This window comes from Homo sapiens, chromosome 11 (genome assembly GCF_000001405.40).
Source record: "Homo sapiens chromosome 11, GRCh38.p14 Primary Assembly".
Classification (NCBI taxonomy): Eukaryota; Metazoa; Chordata; class Mammalia; order Primates; family Hominidae; genus Homo; species Homo sapiens.
Window position 1 is genome coordinate 30,492,127 of NC_000011.10, and position 17,965 is coordinate 30,510,091.

At 39.9% G+C, this 17,965-nt stretch overlaps 1 protein-coding gene across 27 annotated transcripts in view; it reads right to left on the reverse strand.

Moving 5' to 3' along the window:
• The window catches only part of MPPED2 (metallophosphoesterase domain containing 2), a 202,912-nt gene that overhangs the window by 108,048 nt on the left and 76,899 nt on the right, over positions 1–17,965 (reverse strand). For 22 of the 27 annotated variants that reach the window (NR_165336.1, NR_165340.1, NR_165338.1 and 19 more), the window contains one exon: positions 3,170–3,395. The exons of 1 other annotated variant lie outside the window; for it this stretch is intronic. Coding sequence is in view for 13 of the 26 variants with exons in the window: in NM_001377956.1 (NP_001364885.1) it covers positions 3,170–3,395 (226 nt within the window). In the remaining 13 variants the exon portion in view is untranslated. Of the gene's footprint in view, positions 1–3,169; positions 3,396–12,609; positions 12,708–17,965 lie in introns of all 27 variants that reach the window. 4 more of the 27 variants (NR_165339.1, NR_165348.1, NR_165346.1 and 1 more) reach the window with 1 other exon arrangement.

The following is a 17,965-nucleotide window of genomic DNA, read 5'->3' on the forward strand; positions in this document are numbered from 1 at the left end:
GATATAAACTTTGTCTGCAGTTTGCAGCACCACCAAAAACAGATCATGCCCTGCCACATCACATATCTGAATTAGTCTGTTTGTTCGATTGCTTGAGATGCTGCAAGATCTGCCTGAGGACCAAAATCATTCCCTCATTCATCACAGCTACAATCTAGTTTAGCTGAACCCTGTCCTAAACAGATTTGAATCAGCTCAGATAATGGAGGAAGTTTGTTGCTGTCATCATTTCAGCAACTATCAGTCCAGGGATTTCTGAACATCTGCTTGCTCAGGAATAGCCTTAAATGTCCTGTGCCTTTTAAGGATTTTTTCAAAAGTAATCTTAAATTATTTTTAAACAATGATCTTAACTTGCATGTAGAGCACCTCTGCCAATCAGAGGTCATTCCTCAACTACTGTACTGACATTAAGAACTGGGCTGTGAAGCTGGAAATGCTCTGTCTCCTGCCCTTTACCCAGAAATGCTAATATCAACATCCTACATGACCCCAGATTACAGTTTGACAGGACTGATTTCTGCTGTTTATTCTCTTGCCCTTTACCACGTTCTCACACATTAAAAAAATAAATTGACGTACCTTACTAAATAAAGCTAGGTATAAACTGGATCTGAGGATTATAACCACCAATTACCACATCCCAACCCCTGCCACCCCTCAGTCATGCTGTACACCCTGGAATCAGACTTGTCAGGTTCAAATCAGACCTCTTATTATCTGTGGCGATTCTTGAGCAATTACTTAACTTTTCTGCACCTGGATTTTCTTATCTGCCAAATGAGAATCATAATAGTGCCCATCTCCTAAAGGTATTTTGAGGATTAAATAAGATGACACGTATACAAAAAATGTAGGACAATGCCTGGCATATAGGAAGTACTTAATTAAGAGTTCAAAATCATTGTCGGGGTTGATTTTAAACAGATATGTACTTCCTGTACCCACTCACCAGTCCTTCTGGATACCAACTCGTAAAGCTAGAAAAAAAATTATAGAAAATATCTCGCACTTTGGGAGGCCGAGGCGGGCGGATCACGAGGTCAGGAGATCGAGACCACGGTGAAACCCCGTCTCTACTAAAAATACAAAAAATTAGCCGGGCGCAGTGGCGGGCGCCTGTAGTCCCAGCTACTCGGGAGGCTGAGGCAGGAGAATGGCGTGAACCCGGAAGGCGGAGCTTGCAGTGAGCGGAGATCGCGCCACAGCACTCCCGCCTGGGCGACAGAACGAGACTCCGTCTCAAAAAAAAAAAAAAAAAGAAAATATCTCAACCTTTTAACTTACAGAGGACAAGCCAAACTGTTGAGTAAAGTGACCAATCTGAATTCAGTCTGCTTGTCTTTTTCCAGTCCTATCCACAACTCCTAGTGAAGGACTGGGGTACTTTTCTGTATTAAGTGAGTAAAGGTGAGTTCTTCTGCTCTACATACACACACACAGGTTAGTTTTGCTCTATATACACCCTCAAAAAAAAAAAAAGTCCTAGAACCTGCTGATATTGACAATCATTTAGTCTAACATTCTCATTTTAAAGATAAAAAAAAAAACTGGCTCTAGGGCCTAAATGACTTGCCTAAGTTCACATAAATACTTAGTGGGAGAGCCCAAGGCCAGAAAAATTATAATTCATACCCTAAGCAAACTATCCGATATTCTCTTCAGTCCACTGCAAACTTTACCTATTTTATCCTTATCATAACCCTCTAAAATAGGTATCATCTTCACCATCTTAGAGATGTGAAAACTGAGGCTCAGACACTGTGAAGTAACTCCTTTAAAACCTGACAACTGTCAACTGATACAATCAAGATTGACACGCTTCTTGTCTGGCCTCCAAGGATACATGTACCTGTTTCAAGTTTTCCAGAGCTTAGTTCTGAGAATTCTAGTGCCAGCTCTCAACCAGTAACTTTCAAACCACCTGTGCATCAGTCTTGCCCAGGTAACTTTAAAAAATACAAACTGCTGGGCTTCATCTCAGGAAGGACAATCAGAGTCTCTGGAGGAAGGGCTTCAAAATCTATATTTCTACAGAGACGGTAATTCTGATGTGTAGGGAGGTTTGAGAAACCCTAATCTAAGCAAGATATTTTATGACTGCTTCCAGTACAAAATGAGAGGGAAATGAGTTACCTAAGGCTGATGGAATGTTCAGAGCAGCTGAATCTATGTGAAGGGTAGCATGGTGACCTCCTCTCAAATCCTTCTGTGTCACACAGACATACACCCAGCCCCAGTAACATAAACATATACAGCCAGCCCTCCATAATCAGAGGTTCCGCATCCAGGGATTTAACCAACCAAGGATAGAAAATATTAGAAAAAGGGCCAGGAGCGGTGGCTTATACCTGTAATCCCAGCACTTTGGGAGGCCAAGGCGGGCCAATCACCTGAGGTCAGGAGTTCAAGACCAGCCTGGCCAACATGGTGAAACCCCGTCTCTACTAAAAATATGAAAATTAGCCGGGTACAGTGGCATGTGCCTGTAATCCCAGGTACTTTGGAGGCTGAGGCAGGAGAATTGCTCGAACCCAGGAGGCGGAGGTTGCAGTGAGCTGAGATCACACCACTGCATTCCAGCCTGGGCAACAGAGAGATACTCCACCTCAAAAAAAAAAAAAAAAAAAAAAAGAAAGAAAGAAAGAAAGAAAAGAGAAGAAAAGAAAAGAAAATATTGGAAAAAGGATTGCCTCTATGTTGGATATTTTTTGTCATTAATCCTTAAACCATAAAACATAACAATGATTTATATCATATTTACATTGTATTATGTATTATAAGTAATCTAGAGATGATTTAAAGTCTTCACGAGGATGTGCATAGGTTATATGCAAATACTACACCATTTTATATAAAAGACTTGAGCATGATGGAATTTTATCAGTGGGAGGTCCTGGACCAATACCCCATGGACACTGAGGGAGGCATGACTGTATATATCTAGGAAAGCTTTAACTCCTATTGATCTTGCCTAAAGGGATCTCTATCACAATGAAAACAACAAGTGTTGCATTTTGCAGCAGTACAGTATGTATTTTGTTGGAAATACAGCAATAAGGTTTCCTTTCATCCTAATCATTTTCATTTAAAGCATCTAAATCTGAGCTGTGTTTTCTTGGTACTGAGCTAAAAAGCAATGTGGAAAACTGTTTGAATCATCACTTACCAAGGTGCACCGTATATCCTGAATCCCTTCACTGTTACCTCCGAATCTTGTAAGTAAATACTGTTTGTCAGGAGGGACTGAACATTGTCAAAGTCCTCTGGTTTCAATTTGGACACAGAGGGGAAACGGTAGTAGTCCTGTTTAACAAGGTCTGCCATGAATTCCTTATCAAATGTCAGTTCATGATTCCCAGCAATCACTATTTTATATTCATATGGCAGGTTTCCTGAAATAAGAAAAAAGAGCACCAATTAGCACGTTCATTTCCCATCACAAAGTACAACAGCCGAGACTGTGTGATTAGCAGACAGCTCACCCAAATGAAATAGCTCGCAAATTCCTTTACATTTCCATGTGAACTGGAATTTATGACTACTACTTTATGCTAACAAAAATGACAATAACGGGAAATAGGAAGCTGCTAAGTAGCTAAAACGTTGCTAAAAAGACATTAAGTTTTCTAGTTCCATTTCCCTCTTCTGTATGCTATGTATTCATTGTGATGAATCCACAGGGTAATGAATCCACACTTTATATTTATCCAGTAAAAAGCTCTTTAATCACGATCCTTAAGAGAAGGTCTGTACCTAGTTTGGTCCTCAAAACATAATCTAACCAACTATTCTTAACAACTTAGATAACTACTAGATTTTTAGTATATGCTTCATACTAAAGACATGGCATAGTCAAACATTCCATAATTGACATACATTAAAGGAACCAGATAGTATAATTTCATATTTCAACTCTAATTTTAAGTTTCCTTTTTGGGTTGTGAATAAAAAGAACATTAGTAAGGGCCCCCTGATTAGAAGGCTAACTTTCCTCCTATTGGGATGGGAGAAGAAACTGTAAAGTTTAACCCTCTTTTAATATTTATGGTATGGAAATGTGAGTTCTCAGTGTGTGCTTTTTATGCAAAAGTTTCCTGATCAAAATGAGATAATTCTGGGAAGAAGAATGAAAGCTATAAAGGAAAACCCAAACACCAGACTTCTGCATAGATTTATAATGTTTGAATAAAGTACGGGTCATACATATTAATAACTCACCGTGATGCTATAAGAACGAAAATCCAAAGGGAGATAGTGCCGGGCAGCTGTCCCCACCTGAAATTAATGTTCTTTTCCTTACTCTGTCACTACCCATCCCTCAAGCCTCACTGTTCATCTGCTGCTTTTTATTTTATTTTATTTTGGAGGAAAAAAAGAGTGGGACAATGGCACCTATAATTCCAGCTTTCTGAGACCTATGGGTCTGATGTGAAATTAATGTTTCCTGCTATTCCAGGAAGAATTAAAGTTACCACTAGCAGGAAATTGGATACACTTGTTGTAAGAACTGGTCCTTACCAGCAAGCCAGAGTCTCAATGATTTCATTAAGGAAACTTAGTGGGGAAGAGAATTTTGTGGGCGGGGGGTGGGGGGAGGTGAGGGGAGCAAGTTCCATCGTCAGTCCACTTGGATTTCAGCAATTCAAACTGTAAAGATTACATTGTGAAGTCCACACAGTCTCAGCAGCACATCACAAACATATTTGCTAATATTGAAGCAGTTTTTAAGACTGCCAAACCATGTTTTGTATATTACTGCCTTTTCTTTAGTTATTAATTGTTAGATTTCTGACAATAATAAAATTGCATATATAGCAAGGGCAATAATGGGGAGGCTTAAGAGAGAGATGAAAGCAGTCTGATAGAAAATAACACTGCAGAGAGAGGAAACCAGAAACGCTGAGGCCAAGCAGCAATGGATATCTTTGACTACTAGCCCACAGTGCTGTATGTCACGTCTTTGGCCTCAGTTATTTGTAAGGCTATGCTGAAGAGTTCAAAAAAGAATAGGAAGCCTCCCTCAAATGCATGTTTATGCGAATTTGGTAATTAAGAGTATGATGTACATAGCAAGTTGTTTGGATAGAATGGTGGTATCTTGCACAATTCCAGAACTTCAAGTGCAGATGAAAGATATATCAATAGGGCCACAAATTCCCAGTACTGCACATGCTGGAAATTTGTGAGAGACCCTACAACTCTAATATCATGGCTCTGTGACCCTATGAGTCTAATAGTGCTCCCCGCCCCAATTCACCTGTGCTCCCAAAGCCGGAACAGGCTAAAACGTTTTCCCAGACAGCAATGTCTTCCAAGGCCGGTCCTTACTGTGTGATTCTTAGAGCAGAAGATTTTACCTGTACAAGTCACACTGTAGTTGCCCAGTTCCCCTTTAATCATTCACGATGATGGGACTCACTGTAAACCCTTTCATTATGTGCCACCGCTCTTGCAGGAAGCCTGGGTTTCTCAATTTATCCTCGTTTTAGGGCTCGGGTTCAGGGACAGCGTGGGTGAGACTAGCCACTATGGCAAAGGAAGTATATTTTCCCCCTTCAGACTGGGTTTTTCCTTTCTTTCTTTCTTTCTTTCTTTTTAGTAAAACTGCTGCAAAGTAAATCTTTCTCAGAAAGACAAGCATCTTTGGTGTCTTTTAAATCAAATTTTGGAGACTCAGCATAAAAAGGTAGCCACCAAAATGAAGAGCCACAAAAAAGGTGATGATATTTACACATCACCAACAAACTCATCTTTTTCCGAGAATCCAGTAGTAGCTTCCAACTTCTATCCTCTGTTACCGATGTTATGAGATTGTCTGACATATTTTCTTTTTTGCTGAACTGACCTTTCATCTATAATCTGCCAACCTTTATGTTTTATATGAAAAGTGTAAACAGGGCAGCTGACAAATCTCCTGTTACTTGACGGCATTTTCGTTGTTTTTTTTTTTCCAGACTAGATTAATTGGGAAGGCCCTGCAGTCAAGCTTCAAACTTCTTGGTATTCAAATAGCAACACTTTAAAATTGTCAGGCAAAGAGGTGCCTGCCTTTTTCCATTTTATTCAGATCATGCCAGCTAAGCTGACCTGCTTGTATAAAAAAAACCAAGGCCATATATATACTCTAACATGGAAAAAAAATCCTTGCTCTGAATGACCCAAAGAACTCTACCAGCCGGGCACGGTGGCTCACACCCGGAATCCCAGCACTTTGGGAGGTCAAGACAGGCAGATCACCTGAGGTCAGGAGTTTGAGACCAGCCTGGCCAATGTGATAAAACCCTATCTCTACTAAAAATACAAAAATTAGCCGGGTGTGGTAGCAGGAGAATTGCTTGAACCCCGGAGGTGCAGGTTGCTGTGAGCCGAGATTGAACCACTGTACTCCAGCCTGGGTGACAAGAGCAAAACTTGTCTCAAAAAAAAAAAAAAAAAGAACGCTACCAACCAACCAGTTTCATCGTTCCCAAGGCATGGTCTATGTTCTACTAATGGTACACAAGATTATTTTAGGTGAAATGGAAAGGAACCTTTGACAAAATGTCAAATAGTTTTGTATTTTAAAACTACTTTTAAGAATGCATTGTTTGGACAAATACAATATAAAAGTATAAGTAATGATATATAGCTTCCTTTTTTCTATCTTTATATGTAAAATAAGAGGTAATTTCAAGAAAATTACTGAGCAAATAGTAGAGGTAACTTACAGGGACAATAAAGTGACAATGGTAGGAAGTGAATTAATGAGATGTGGAAAACTTGCTCATCAGTTCAGGTTAGAGCTACAGAATGTAAGTGAGACCATAAAAGAGGCAGTTATTTGAGTTTTATCTATTCTGTATCTTCTGCACTTAGTGGTGTCACATAAGTAGATACTCATGAACTGAAAGTCAACAGGGTCCTCGCTGCTACTTGACGTTCTAAGTGCCCCACACTCCAGCCACTACCTCCCCAAAGCAGCCATCACAAAATTTGTCCAGGTTCCTCTCTAGCTCCCAGGCTCCAACTGAGCCCCTCTCCAGACATGCAAAATACCCTCTAACCACATGTGTACAGAAGGAGGGAGGTTCTCTTCACTTCTGCCTTTTCACTTTCCCATCACACCATCTGTTTGCATCTTCTTATCTTTCTAACAGAGGTTGAGCATCCTTTATCTGAAATGCTTGTGACCAGAATCATTTAGGATTTTGGATTTTTTCAGATTTTGGAATATTTGTGTTACACTGATTGAACATTCCAAATCCCAAAATCCAAAATCTGAAATGCTCCAATGAACATTTTCACTGAGTGTCATGTCAGTGCTCAAAATGTTTCAGATTTTGGAACACTTTGGATTTTGGATTCTCATAGTAGGGATGTTCAATTTGCAAATTGGCCTCTTAATCTGATTCCTCCCACTCCCATAAGCACCTTCCTTTTCCAGGCATCTCCTCTCTTTGATATTTTGGGCCTCTCTCTATACATTGAATCCTCCTCCTTGGTGAGTTTATATTTACCCACTCCAAGAAAACAAAAACAAACAACCCTTGACACATACACACACACATACGTGCCTCAAACATGATCGTAAACATTCCTTGACTTTTTTGCTTCTTTGAGATGCTTCCTCATTTCACTTCTAAACTTCTTAAAAGAGGATTCCATAAGCTTGCTGCTGGTGGGACCAATTCAGCCCTCAGATGTGTCATGCTTAGCCCTCAACTGAGGTTATTATTTGTTTGTTTGTTTTTTGTTTTGTTTTGTTTTTGTAATGAACTAACATCTAGAACTCAGGAAATATCACCCAAAAGTTTCTGCACTTCCAGCTTCTTGTGGGAAATCAAAAGATCAGGCAAAACTGACCTCCAGTCTGCCAAGAGATCTCCCCTCTCTGATTTCTTCTCATACAGCCCACTTACCACATTTGTTCTGCCTGATGGGCCACTATATTAATAGATTTAACAATGTACAGCCAAATGGTTACTCAAAAATTACTCAATGCAATCTGGCTTCTGCTTCTACTCTCCTTCCAAAAGCGTCCCTGGAATGTGACTAATAACCTCCTAATGGCCAAAGCCATGGCTTTATTTGAATTCTGACCTCTGTTGATCACACTACAGTGGTGTGATCCATTCCCTTGATTACTGCTGTGGCACTCTCCAAGTTCTCCTCCTCCCTCTCTGATATTTCCTCTCCTCTCTCTTCTTCCTCAGCTTCCTTTGCATCCTATCTCATCTGCATGCTTATTCCATGACACTCTCCTTATTCATCTTTACTTCTATGGGCAGTATGTAATAGTTTCTTACTGTGCTTCTCACATTTCTATTCCTAATGATTCGATTTTAAAACTATTACAATTTAAACTGTGGACGCAGCATGGGGATAAGAATGGGGACTCTGTAGTCTCTGCTACATGTTAGCTGTATGACCTTGGAGATTCCTTATGTTCTCTAAAGTGTGCTAGCAAAATGGGGATAATAACACCTACCTCATGAGTTTTGGCAAAGATAAAATGAAATTTAGCCTCTAAAGCACATGCATGGTGCAGAGTAAACCATCAGTGCACGTTCACTATTATTACTCCATTTTTGAGTTTTGCTTTTGCATGTGACTTGTATCCCCATAGACTTGAAGACATGGATCATGGCTTGTTGTTCCTTATTGACCCAAAGTACCTAGTCCCGTATCTTCAAAATGGCAGACACACAACTCAGATTTGTTGAGTAAGTGAAGGAACGAATGAACCTCCACAAGACTTCCTGGTAACTTCCATAGAATTCCAGGAACTCGGGTTGTCATCTTGGGCTATGGTAAGGTTTAAGCCAATGTCACATTTTCTTCCAACTTTAAGCCCGCATGAAGTGTCCTGTTCCTTCTCCCCAACATCCAGTCTAGCCGACTAATCTCCAACTCTTTTTAAACTACAGTTTTCTCAGATATAAATAGGGTAAAAATAAAATACTGCTTCTAAAGTATGGTGAGGATTAAACAACATCCTGCATATAAACAACCTGCACAGTTTCTGACACTCTATATTCACTCAACAGACATTAGCTGTGTTGTTATGTTATTGTCATGACCATCTTTCCCAATCGCCATCAATAAATCATTGGTTTATCCACAAATTGGACCACTCCCTGATGCCAGGCACAATGTCACTACTCTCAAAGCAAAGCATCTGAAGACGAAAAAGAACATTTTGATTTTTCTCATGGCAGAAACTGGCATGTTCCAACATGTCTTTCAAACTAACAAAAGTATTATTAGGGCCAATAAGCATTTGGATCTAAAAGTGAAGGTCAGTGCGGCTATGAGGTCTCCAACCTGCACACAATGCAAACACAGCACCTCTGTTGAGATAATCCTAACCTCGCACAATGTATTCCCTTAACACACAACTTTTTGCCTCCTTCTCTCATCCAGATATCTCTGTCTTCCAGTATTTATCAAATACCAAAAAATGTGCCGAGTGGCCTCTCATTCATGAATGATTAGTATAACCTGTAATAGATAGCATCCAGACTGTTTCTCTCAAGAGTGACTACTCATGCAGAATATCCAGAATTTCTTCTTAGAATCAGGTGGGGTTATTCTTCTATGAGCATGCAGCAAGGAATAGATGAAAAGTTTAAGATCTCCAGCTATGCACATGTCTGATGAACTCTATAACAATGTTAAAACAAACACATAGCAACTTATGTCAAAGTCAGCATAACTCCCTTATAAAACTCTGGACATTTAACATGCCACTTATAATGGCTCTGATGAATCACAACACATGAACCCCTAAGGGTCCTCCAAGACAATCTAGTGGTTTGAAGCTGTGCTCCGTGAAGCCTCCCCAGGGATGGAGAAGGGCAGAGGGGAACGACCTTCTCTGAGGTTCACCAGAGCAGCTATGCTTTCCTTGATTTTACCATCTGGGGAAAGATTTCATCATTCTAAGAAAGTTAACCCTGGCTTAAAAAAATTAAGAGGAAACCACTGATTCATGCAATTCCATTTTATGGATGAAGAAACTGAGTGCCAGAGAGGTGCTGCCACTTACTAAGTGCAGTCACAGGCCACAAGTGGGGCCAGAATCTAGCTCTTTGGCTCCCAGACCAGTAGTTTTCAGATGACCCCACATATGTGACAACTTGATAAAGTTTGACTTAAGGCCTACTCATACATGAATCCTCCTCATGCCATTATCCATCTATAGTAACCTTTTATCTAATATTAAGCATTTATGGCCCTTTTAGTTTGTACCCACGAAACAGAACTCTCCATTCTAGATGCTTCTCTGGCTATATCACAGACTTCTCCTGTATGGGAAATAAAGCAGTGTCAGCCTCATGCTGTAACAATTAAAACACATCCTGGCTTAATTAAAACATTCCCCGAATGCTACTGCAGCTGTTGGTACAATTTCTTATCTACAGGCTCCCAGGAGAATGTGGGAGCCTACCCAGTGAAGAGAAGGCCAACTTTATGTGAGGTCCCAGAATCTAAAAACTTGTTGCTACAATTATGAGGATGAGATTTTGATAGGAAAATGGAGGTCTGAGGTAATAAATTCAAACACCTACATGGACTAGGGAGGTAAAGAAACAATGTGAATTGAGCTGAACTAGGTGGAAGATAATAGAGAACAATGAGGGGACTGGGGGCACATGTGCATCAGCATTTTAAAATAAACATATATAAGCACTGCTCTGGCCAAACGTGATCTCCTCTCTAGCTTGCCCCTCTCCCTCAATACAAGTTAATGTTCCTCAAAAATAAGTATCAAACAACTGCAATCAGGTTTTCTGCTATAAATCATTATAGAATGAATTCCTCTAGAAAATTCAAGTTTAGGTCAAACCAAAATCCAAGGTCAATTCCAGAACATTTACTTTTCCCAGGAATCTGCCTGTGATATGGTTTGGCTGTGTCCCCATCCAAATCTCATCTTGAATTGTAGCTCCTGTTATCCCCACGTGTTGTGGGAAGGATCTGGTGGGAGGTAATTGAATCATGAGGGTGGTTATCCTCATGCTGGTCTCATGATAGTAAGTTCTCACGAGATTTGATGGTTTTATAAGGGGCTTTACCTCCTTTTGCTCAGCACTTCTGCTTGCTGCCGCCATGTGAAGAAAGACGTGTAGGCTTCCCCTTCCGCCATGATTATAAGTTTCCTAAGGCCTACCCAGCCTTGCTGAACTATGAGTCAATTAAACCTCTCTCCTTTATAAATTACCCAGTCTCAGGTATATCTTTAGTAACAGCATGAGAACAGACTAATACAGCCTGCCAACTTTCAGAAGACAACTCTTGCCTCATACTCTTCATTCCCCATGAACAGGGAATATGGAAAACAGGGTCGATCACAATCATCAGGTCGTGGTTAACACCAAATATCCTTTCTCCACACCCTTTTTTTTAAAATCAGAGATCTGGTCAGCAAGGCTAATTGATTACTATCTCCTATTTACTCCTGCTAAAACCAAGAGAAAAACCCCAGCATTCAGCAGTAGTTCTTTGTGAAAGAGAGCCTCCAAAAGCAAACATGGCTTGTCATTTTCCTGTATAAAAGAAAACCTAGTTCCATAAAGCTGACATATTTTAAGACTGCCAATCCCTATGCCCTCTCCCCTCTATTCTCCCATATTATAGATTTTTAAAATATATAAGGAAACCAAAAATGTCTGGGGCATAGCACTCACAGTCAGTAAAGCTCATTCTATAGCAGGAGGAAAAACAACAGAGATGACAGGACAGAAGAAGAACTTGCTATGGCTCCCAGGTGCCCAGGAAAATCAAATTCACAGGGCACAGCCTTCAGGCTCACTTTCCCTTGGTAATGTGCTAGAAAAAAAAGCTAACTTGTTGGGATTTAAAAGAATCAAACAAATATATAGTCAGACCTGTTATCACAGGACTGTTTCTAAATAAGAGATATACAACAATTTGATCACATTTCTGAAACCTGCCTGCAATGGGGCAGTGCCAGATGCCTGTTTTAAAACCCTGTTCCCTAATGCCAGTGATATAAAGTTACTTTGTTTCACCCAAGGCACACAGAAGGAGGAAATTTTTCCTATTTAAAATTATTATTATATGTTTAATATTGTAACTCCAGCAGGAACAGGGAAAATGTTAAAACTTTTGAAGCCTCTCTATTTCACTGAGGAATGAATAAGAATAACCTGGGCTTGAAAACTGGCCAAGCAGAAAATTCTGCAGGAAGATGAAAGGAAAAAAGTAATACCAACTGCTAGGAGCATGGAAGAACTATGAGGCTCAGGATGGGCTAAGGAGACATTTCATCTAAATTCCTTCCTTGGCAATTACTGGGGGCTGATAGCAGAGAAGGCCTGAGTCCAGCCTGGAGGTGGGGAGGGGGTTCTATAAGCTATGAGGAGGCAGAGCCAACTTTTTGCTGCTGTACCCCTGGCACCTAGAAGAATGCTTAGCACTTAGTTGGTACCCACTGCATACTCCAGAAATCCCCCTTGGCTCCACAGTTTGCACTCACTTGACTCAGCTACAAAACCACCAGAAACATTCAGTCAGGGCAAGCTCTGTCTCTGACCTCAGTCTGTCCCCCGTCAGGCTCCATTAATTTTCACAAGTCCTGACAGCTCTAACGTTAATACTCACACTTGCTGATGGAGCCACACAGCAGGTTCAGACTGCTACCTTCTCCTCTGAAACTCATGCATTAGGGTTTCTTCCATGCTTGCAATGGGAAACCAGGTCTAAGAAATATTAAACACAGAAAACTATATTACAATAATGTCAGGGCTGAGCCAGAAACCCAGGAGAAGGCAGGGGATGCGGAGTGAAAGCCCGGTGGTCCACTGCAGGAATGAGCACCAGTGTAAGACACCACAGCGGAAATGCTCCCTCCTCCGCTTCAGCCTCCTCCATAAAGAGAATCCCAAGGCACCAGGAGATGTGATAAACCTTAGTCCACACAAAGAAGACAAAAGTCCACTCCCCATCCCTTACAGTAGTCACTACTGCATTGCACTGATGGCAGGTAACAACTGACAAGTGCAAATGATGGGGAAGCAGGCCATTAATATCCACAATTTTTAGACCACGAAAACTGCCCAGAGATTTTATTGCTGCTCAGCAACTCCTTATTTGTAAGCATTCTTGCCTCAACCATGGCCTTATTCCAACACAACTTTTTGTGACCTAAACACACACACGTACACACTCGCACATACTCATTCACGCTTATATATATTTTTAAGACAACCACAAGGTAGTAGAAATGAATGACACTATCCTCCTTGCTTCCCAACCGAGTATCTCTAAGTTGCCACCCAAATCAACATGGCATGTTCTAAATGGGAATCCCTAGTGGTAACCGTCCACCTAAATGCAACTCCAATTATATTCCAGTATTGCCATCTGGCTGGACAAAAGAATCATAAGGTAGACTCTTCCACTGTTTATTTTATCCAAACTTTCCTTTACAAATGAGGGTCTTGGCTTATAAAGAAAGATTTATACAACAAATTCGATCTGAACAATCAGACTAGCTTCTAAAGACCCTTCAATCTACTTCCTCAAGCATTAGAAAACCGCATCCAAATCAAGGTTCCACCAGATAATCACAAGAAAAATTGGTAAAGACATTGTCAGGTTTCATCTGGATCAGTTGTGTGCATGTTTATACAACCTGAACTTACAGGAATATGTGGCATAAAGGAAAGAGTGTGGACTTTGGAGTCAGACAGATTTCGGATCAAGTTCCTGCTTCTGTCACTTATTACCTGTTAAACTCAGACTCCAAACACATAATTTTAGCTTCACAATACTCATCAGGAAAAAAGAAAAAGAATAATTGTACAATCTACCTTATGAAGTGGGTATGGGGAATAAGTGAGAGCAGGAAAGGACCAAATACAATACCTGCCACATAAAGGATGATAATTATTATTGTTATTATTATTATTATTAATTTTTGAAATGGAGTCTCACTCTGTCACCCGGGTGAGAGTGCAGTGGCGCGATTTCAGTTCACTGCAACCTCCGCCTCCAGGGTTCAAGGGATTCTCATATCTCAGCCTCCCAAGTAGCTGGGACTACATGTGCCCACCACCACCCCCGGCTAATTTTTTATATTTTTAGTAGAGACAGGGTTTCGCAATGTTGGCCAGGCTGGTTTCAAACTCCTGACCTCAGCTGATCCCCTCAGCCCGCCTCAGCCTCCCAAAGTGCTGGGATTACAGGCATGAGCCATCGTGCCTGGCCTATTACTGTTATTTTTATCCTGTCTTCTGTTTTGCAGTGTAACTTAGATCAGAATAAGGAGCCCATCTCCTATGTTCTACCTCTTTAAAAGAGTATTTAATAAATATCTTTAATAAACTAGTAGTGTTGGCTGACAAAGTCTCTGATGAGATGAAGAATGATATGTTTATTTTTCCCCCACAAAGCCTTTAAAAAGCAACTGAGAAAAAGGTGTTCCTTCCAGCAATAATTATAAAATAAGTGGCAATTATTCTACTGAATAACTAGAGGAACAAATGCAAATCCTGTGTGTTTGCATTTTAAACCATTAAGTATGGTGATGATCAAATTAAATAAAAATAACATAAGGCATAAAGGCCATATCTTTTAAAAGAAATAACCATTTTAGAGGCTTTTTAAATTCCTCCCCTCCTTAAGCCTGCAAATAAGAATTTTAAAAATCTTTTTGTAATAACTACTGTCATTTTTGCATGCTGAAATAACATTTGGGCAGATGATGCAGGATTTCCGAATGCAGGAATTCTGCGGGGCAGGGCTGCAGAAACCAGAATGGAGGGTTGACAGTGGAAATAAAATCTCTGCGTTAACAGCGCCACTGGGGCTAAATGAAAATGGTCTTCCAGAACTTGATTAAAACTAAATTGAAAAAGAACATATTTGGCTAATATTACATTAGACTAAAATATAGAAATGAACCCTAATACTCTCAAAATCTAATAAGAAAAAGCCATCTCAATTTCCAAACTTTCAAAGCATCTTCTTTAAATGCATCACAGATCAATTTACATGGTACTTTTGTCAATAAGCAAAACCAAATCATGGGTTCCAATTGGCTTATATTGGAAAGTGTAAGAGCAAATGCTAGAAAATGCAATTACTGCAAACAAACTCCATTTTCTTCCCTCTGAAGGGAATTTCGGGGAATATTTTATTGCCATCAAATAATATTTCTGAAGGCATCAATACACAGTTCTATTCTCCTTTCTGAATCCCCACTCACTGTATAATCTAATCCACTCTACAGAATATCCTGAAATTTAGAGAAGTGCCTACGAAAGGGGATATTACCTTGCACACACATCCTATGTCAATTTTAATAATATCCACGCTGGACAGGAAGCTGCATAGAGCAAAATTTAGGAGCCAGTAAAATTGATTCTTCCCATTTTATAACTCAAAATTTGAGTGAAGCATTTCAAGTACAATATTTACAAAGAAACCCCTCAGAGAAGGTTATTTTGATCAATAGTGGCAGTGACAATATAGAGGGAATGGAGACCATATTCATTTCCTTTTCCATTCTGCTTTCTCCACCCCTCAATGGGCAACATTTACTACTATAAGAGCTACCCTGAATCAGAGCCACTAAGACTTCCTGGGGGGTGTGAAATCATGAAGTCTCCTTTGGATAATGTTTTGGTTCCACTGGAACACATTTCCAATAGTCTCCGATATTTCTTTGGCAATGCTTTTATGGCTTTATCCCACAAGCCTCCCGCTGGTATGAAGCAGTAAAAAGTACGTAGTATAATTCCTCAGGAAGAAAGGATTTCTGGAAATTCCATCATGGCCCTTGGTACCCAAGGTTCCAAGAAGCAGAATTGGAGGTCTATTTTACTTTCTACATTTTCATTCCTTACTCATGGGTTTTCCAATTTCTAGAGATCTAGGCCTCAGCATCTTAAAATTTATCAAGAGATAAATTTACACTGTCTTCCTAAATCTGTGTTTTCTCCTAATTAGTATAATTAAGGCACAAAGTATTCCATAAAGTTCTTCCTTAAATAATTTGAATTAAGTATTTTAAGGAATTCAGGTAATCGGAACACAGTTGGAGAGCATACTCTGTCTGCTGAACGTTGTTCCAAAGCAAGACACAAAAATAAATACATAAAAAGGTGTTTGGCATGACAGTAAAATGAAAAAATTTAAAAAATGTGTTTGTTCTATGAGGGTCTTTGTTCCTAGACATGTGAAGTCAGGTAAATGCATACTACATTTGCCTTAAATTGTTCATTAAAAAACATGTAAATTTCTCTCCCTCCTCATACATATGCATACACTCTGTCAAAGAGCAGATTTCCCCTACTTTTTGGTTTGCTTCTTTTATGGGCTGAATTGTGTTCCCCCAAAATGCATAGACCAAACCTGCTAGTAGCCTCCACAACTGTGAGAAAATAAATGTCTGTTGTTTAAACCACATAGTCTGTGTTTCCATGGTTGACAGCCCTAGCAAAGTAATACCCTTCCTAGAAGGCTGCCTTGGCTTAATCCTTCCTACACTAAAGCTGGGTGATCTCATCAAAATACAAATCTGATCATATACACTCCCTCCACACACTTAAACACTCACCCAACTTAACATCTTCCCAGATTCTCTATTATTGCCCACAGACAAAGGGCCAAACGTTCTGTGGTATGGTGTGTAGAACTCTCTGTGCCCTGCCAGCCACTTCCCCACTCATATCTGGAGGTCTGAGCTTGCCAAGTGCTTGCAGTTCACAGAATGAGGATTTGTCTAACGAGTTCTCTTTCTGCCACATGACTATGGACCTCAGGAGGGTTCGAACTATATTCTATTCATCTTTGCATTCCCAGAAGGCCTCAATCATTACTTATCAAATAGATGAATGAATGAAGAAATAATTCTATATTGCCTGAGAATCATGTGGATATGATTAGCGAAGACCTCAATTTTGGCTACAAAATGGCCTTTAAGTGTTATAAGTCCTATTTTTATTTTATTCAAGGATGACACCAATTATATACATCACAAAGTATACTGTTAATTTGCTATTAATAAACTAAATCTGATTTTTAAAATCTGTTATACAGGGGCTTTTTTTACTGGGAAAGGCAAAAGAGGGCAAAGAAGTTGGCCCACCTGTAGTAAGGGCTCAATTTTGTTGAATGAGTGAACAAATAAATGGATGAATAAATGAATAAATGAACTATATACATGACACAAATAATGTTACAATTTCAAAAGAGAAGGGAATTATTGCTGCATGGTTGACACTATGCACTTAAAGATTTTTCCAGCCTTTGTTCCCGGTAGCTCAGAGGAGTAATCAATAGATGGAGTTAATGGAATAGTCATTCATTATTTGAGGAAGGTGCCTGTATTTCTTCATTGTATCCCTTCATCTGAAAGTTTTCACCCCTAGGCCTCTCAGGAAAATCACTGCTGTTTTGACAGCTGGCTTTGCAGAGGCCACTCTTTATAAATGAGCCTACTGCCTAGGCCCAAACAGGACACGTGTGTGCATCTTCTCAGGCCCCCAAGTCACTGGGTCAGATGAAAGAATCCATGCTAATTTATGTGCAAGGCCAGTTCTATCCTTTTGCTTCCAACAGAAAATCAAGGGACAGCAGGGTGCTCCTGACCTTTTATCCTTTAATTCCAGGCTTACCAAAATTCCAACCTAGCAGAGTCCTCAGAGATTTGAATCATTCCTTCCATGGAATGGGAAACTAAGACCTAGCAAGGCTAAAATGACTCCTCCAAGGTCACCCAATGACTTAGTTGCAATTCAGAACTTCTGATTTTGCAGACCAATCCTCTCCTTCTCCACCATATCACATAATCACCGGGTCAGAGATTTAAATGATTCACTTTGTAGATCAGAATGTTTAGGTTCAGAGAAGCTAAGAAGTTTTTCTAAAGACTGTGCCTACAATCATGAATCCTGGGTCCTAACATTCATCTGCCACTACCAGCAAGTATCATGCAGTAACACCCAAGACA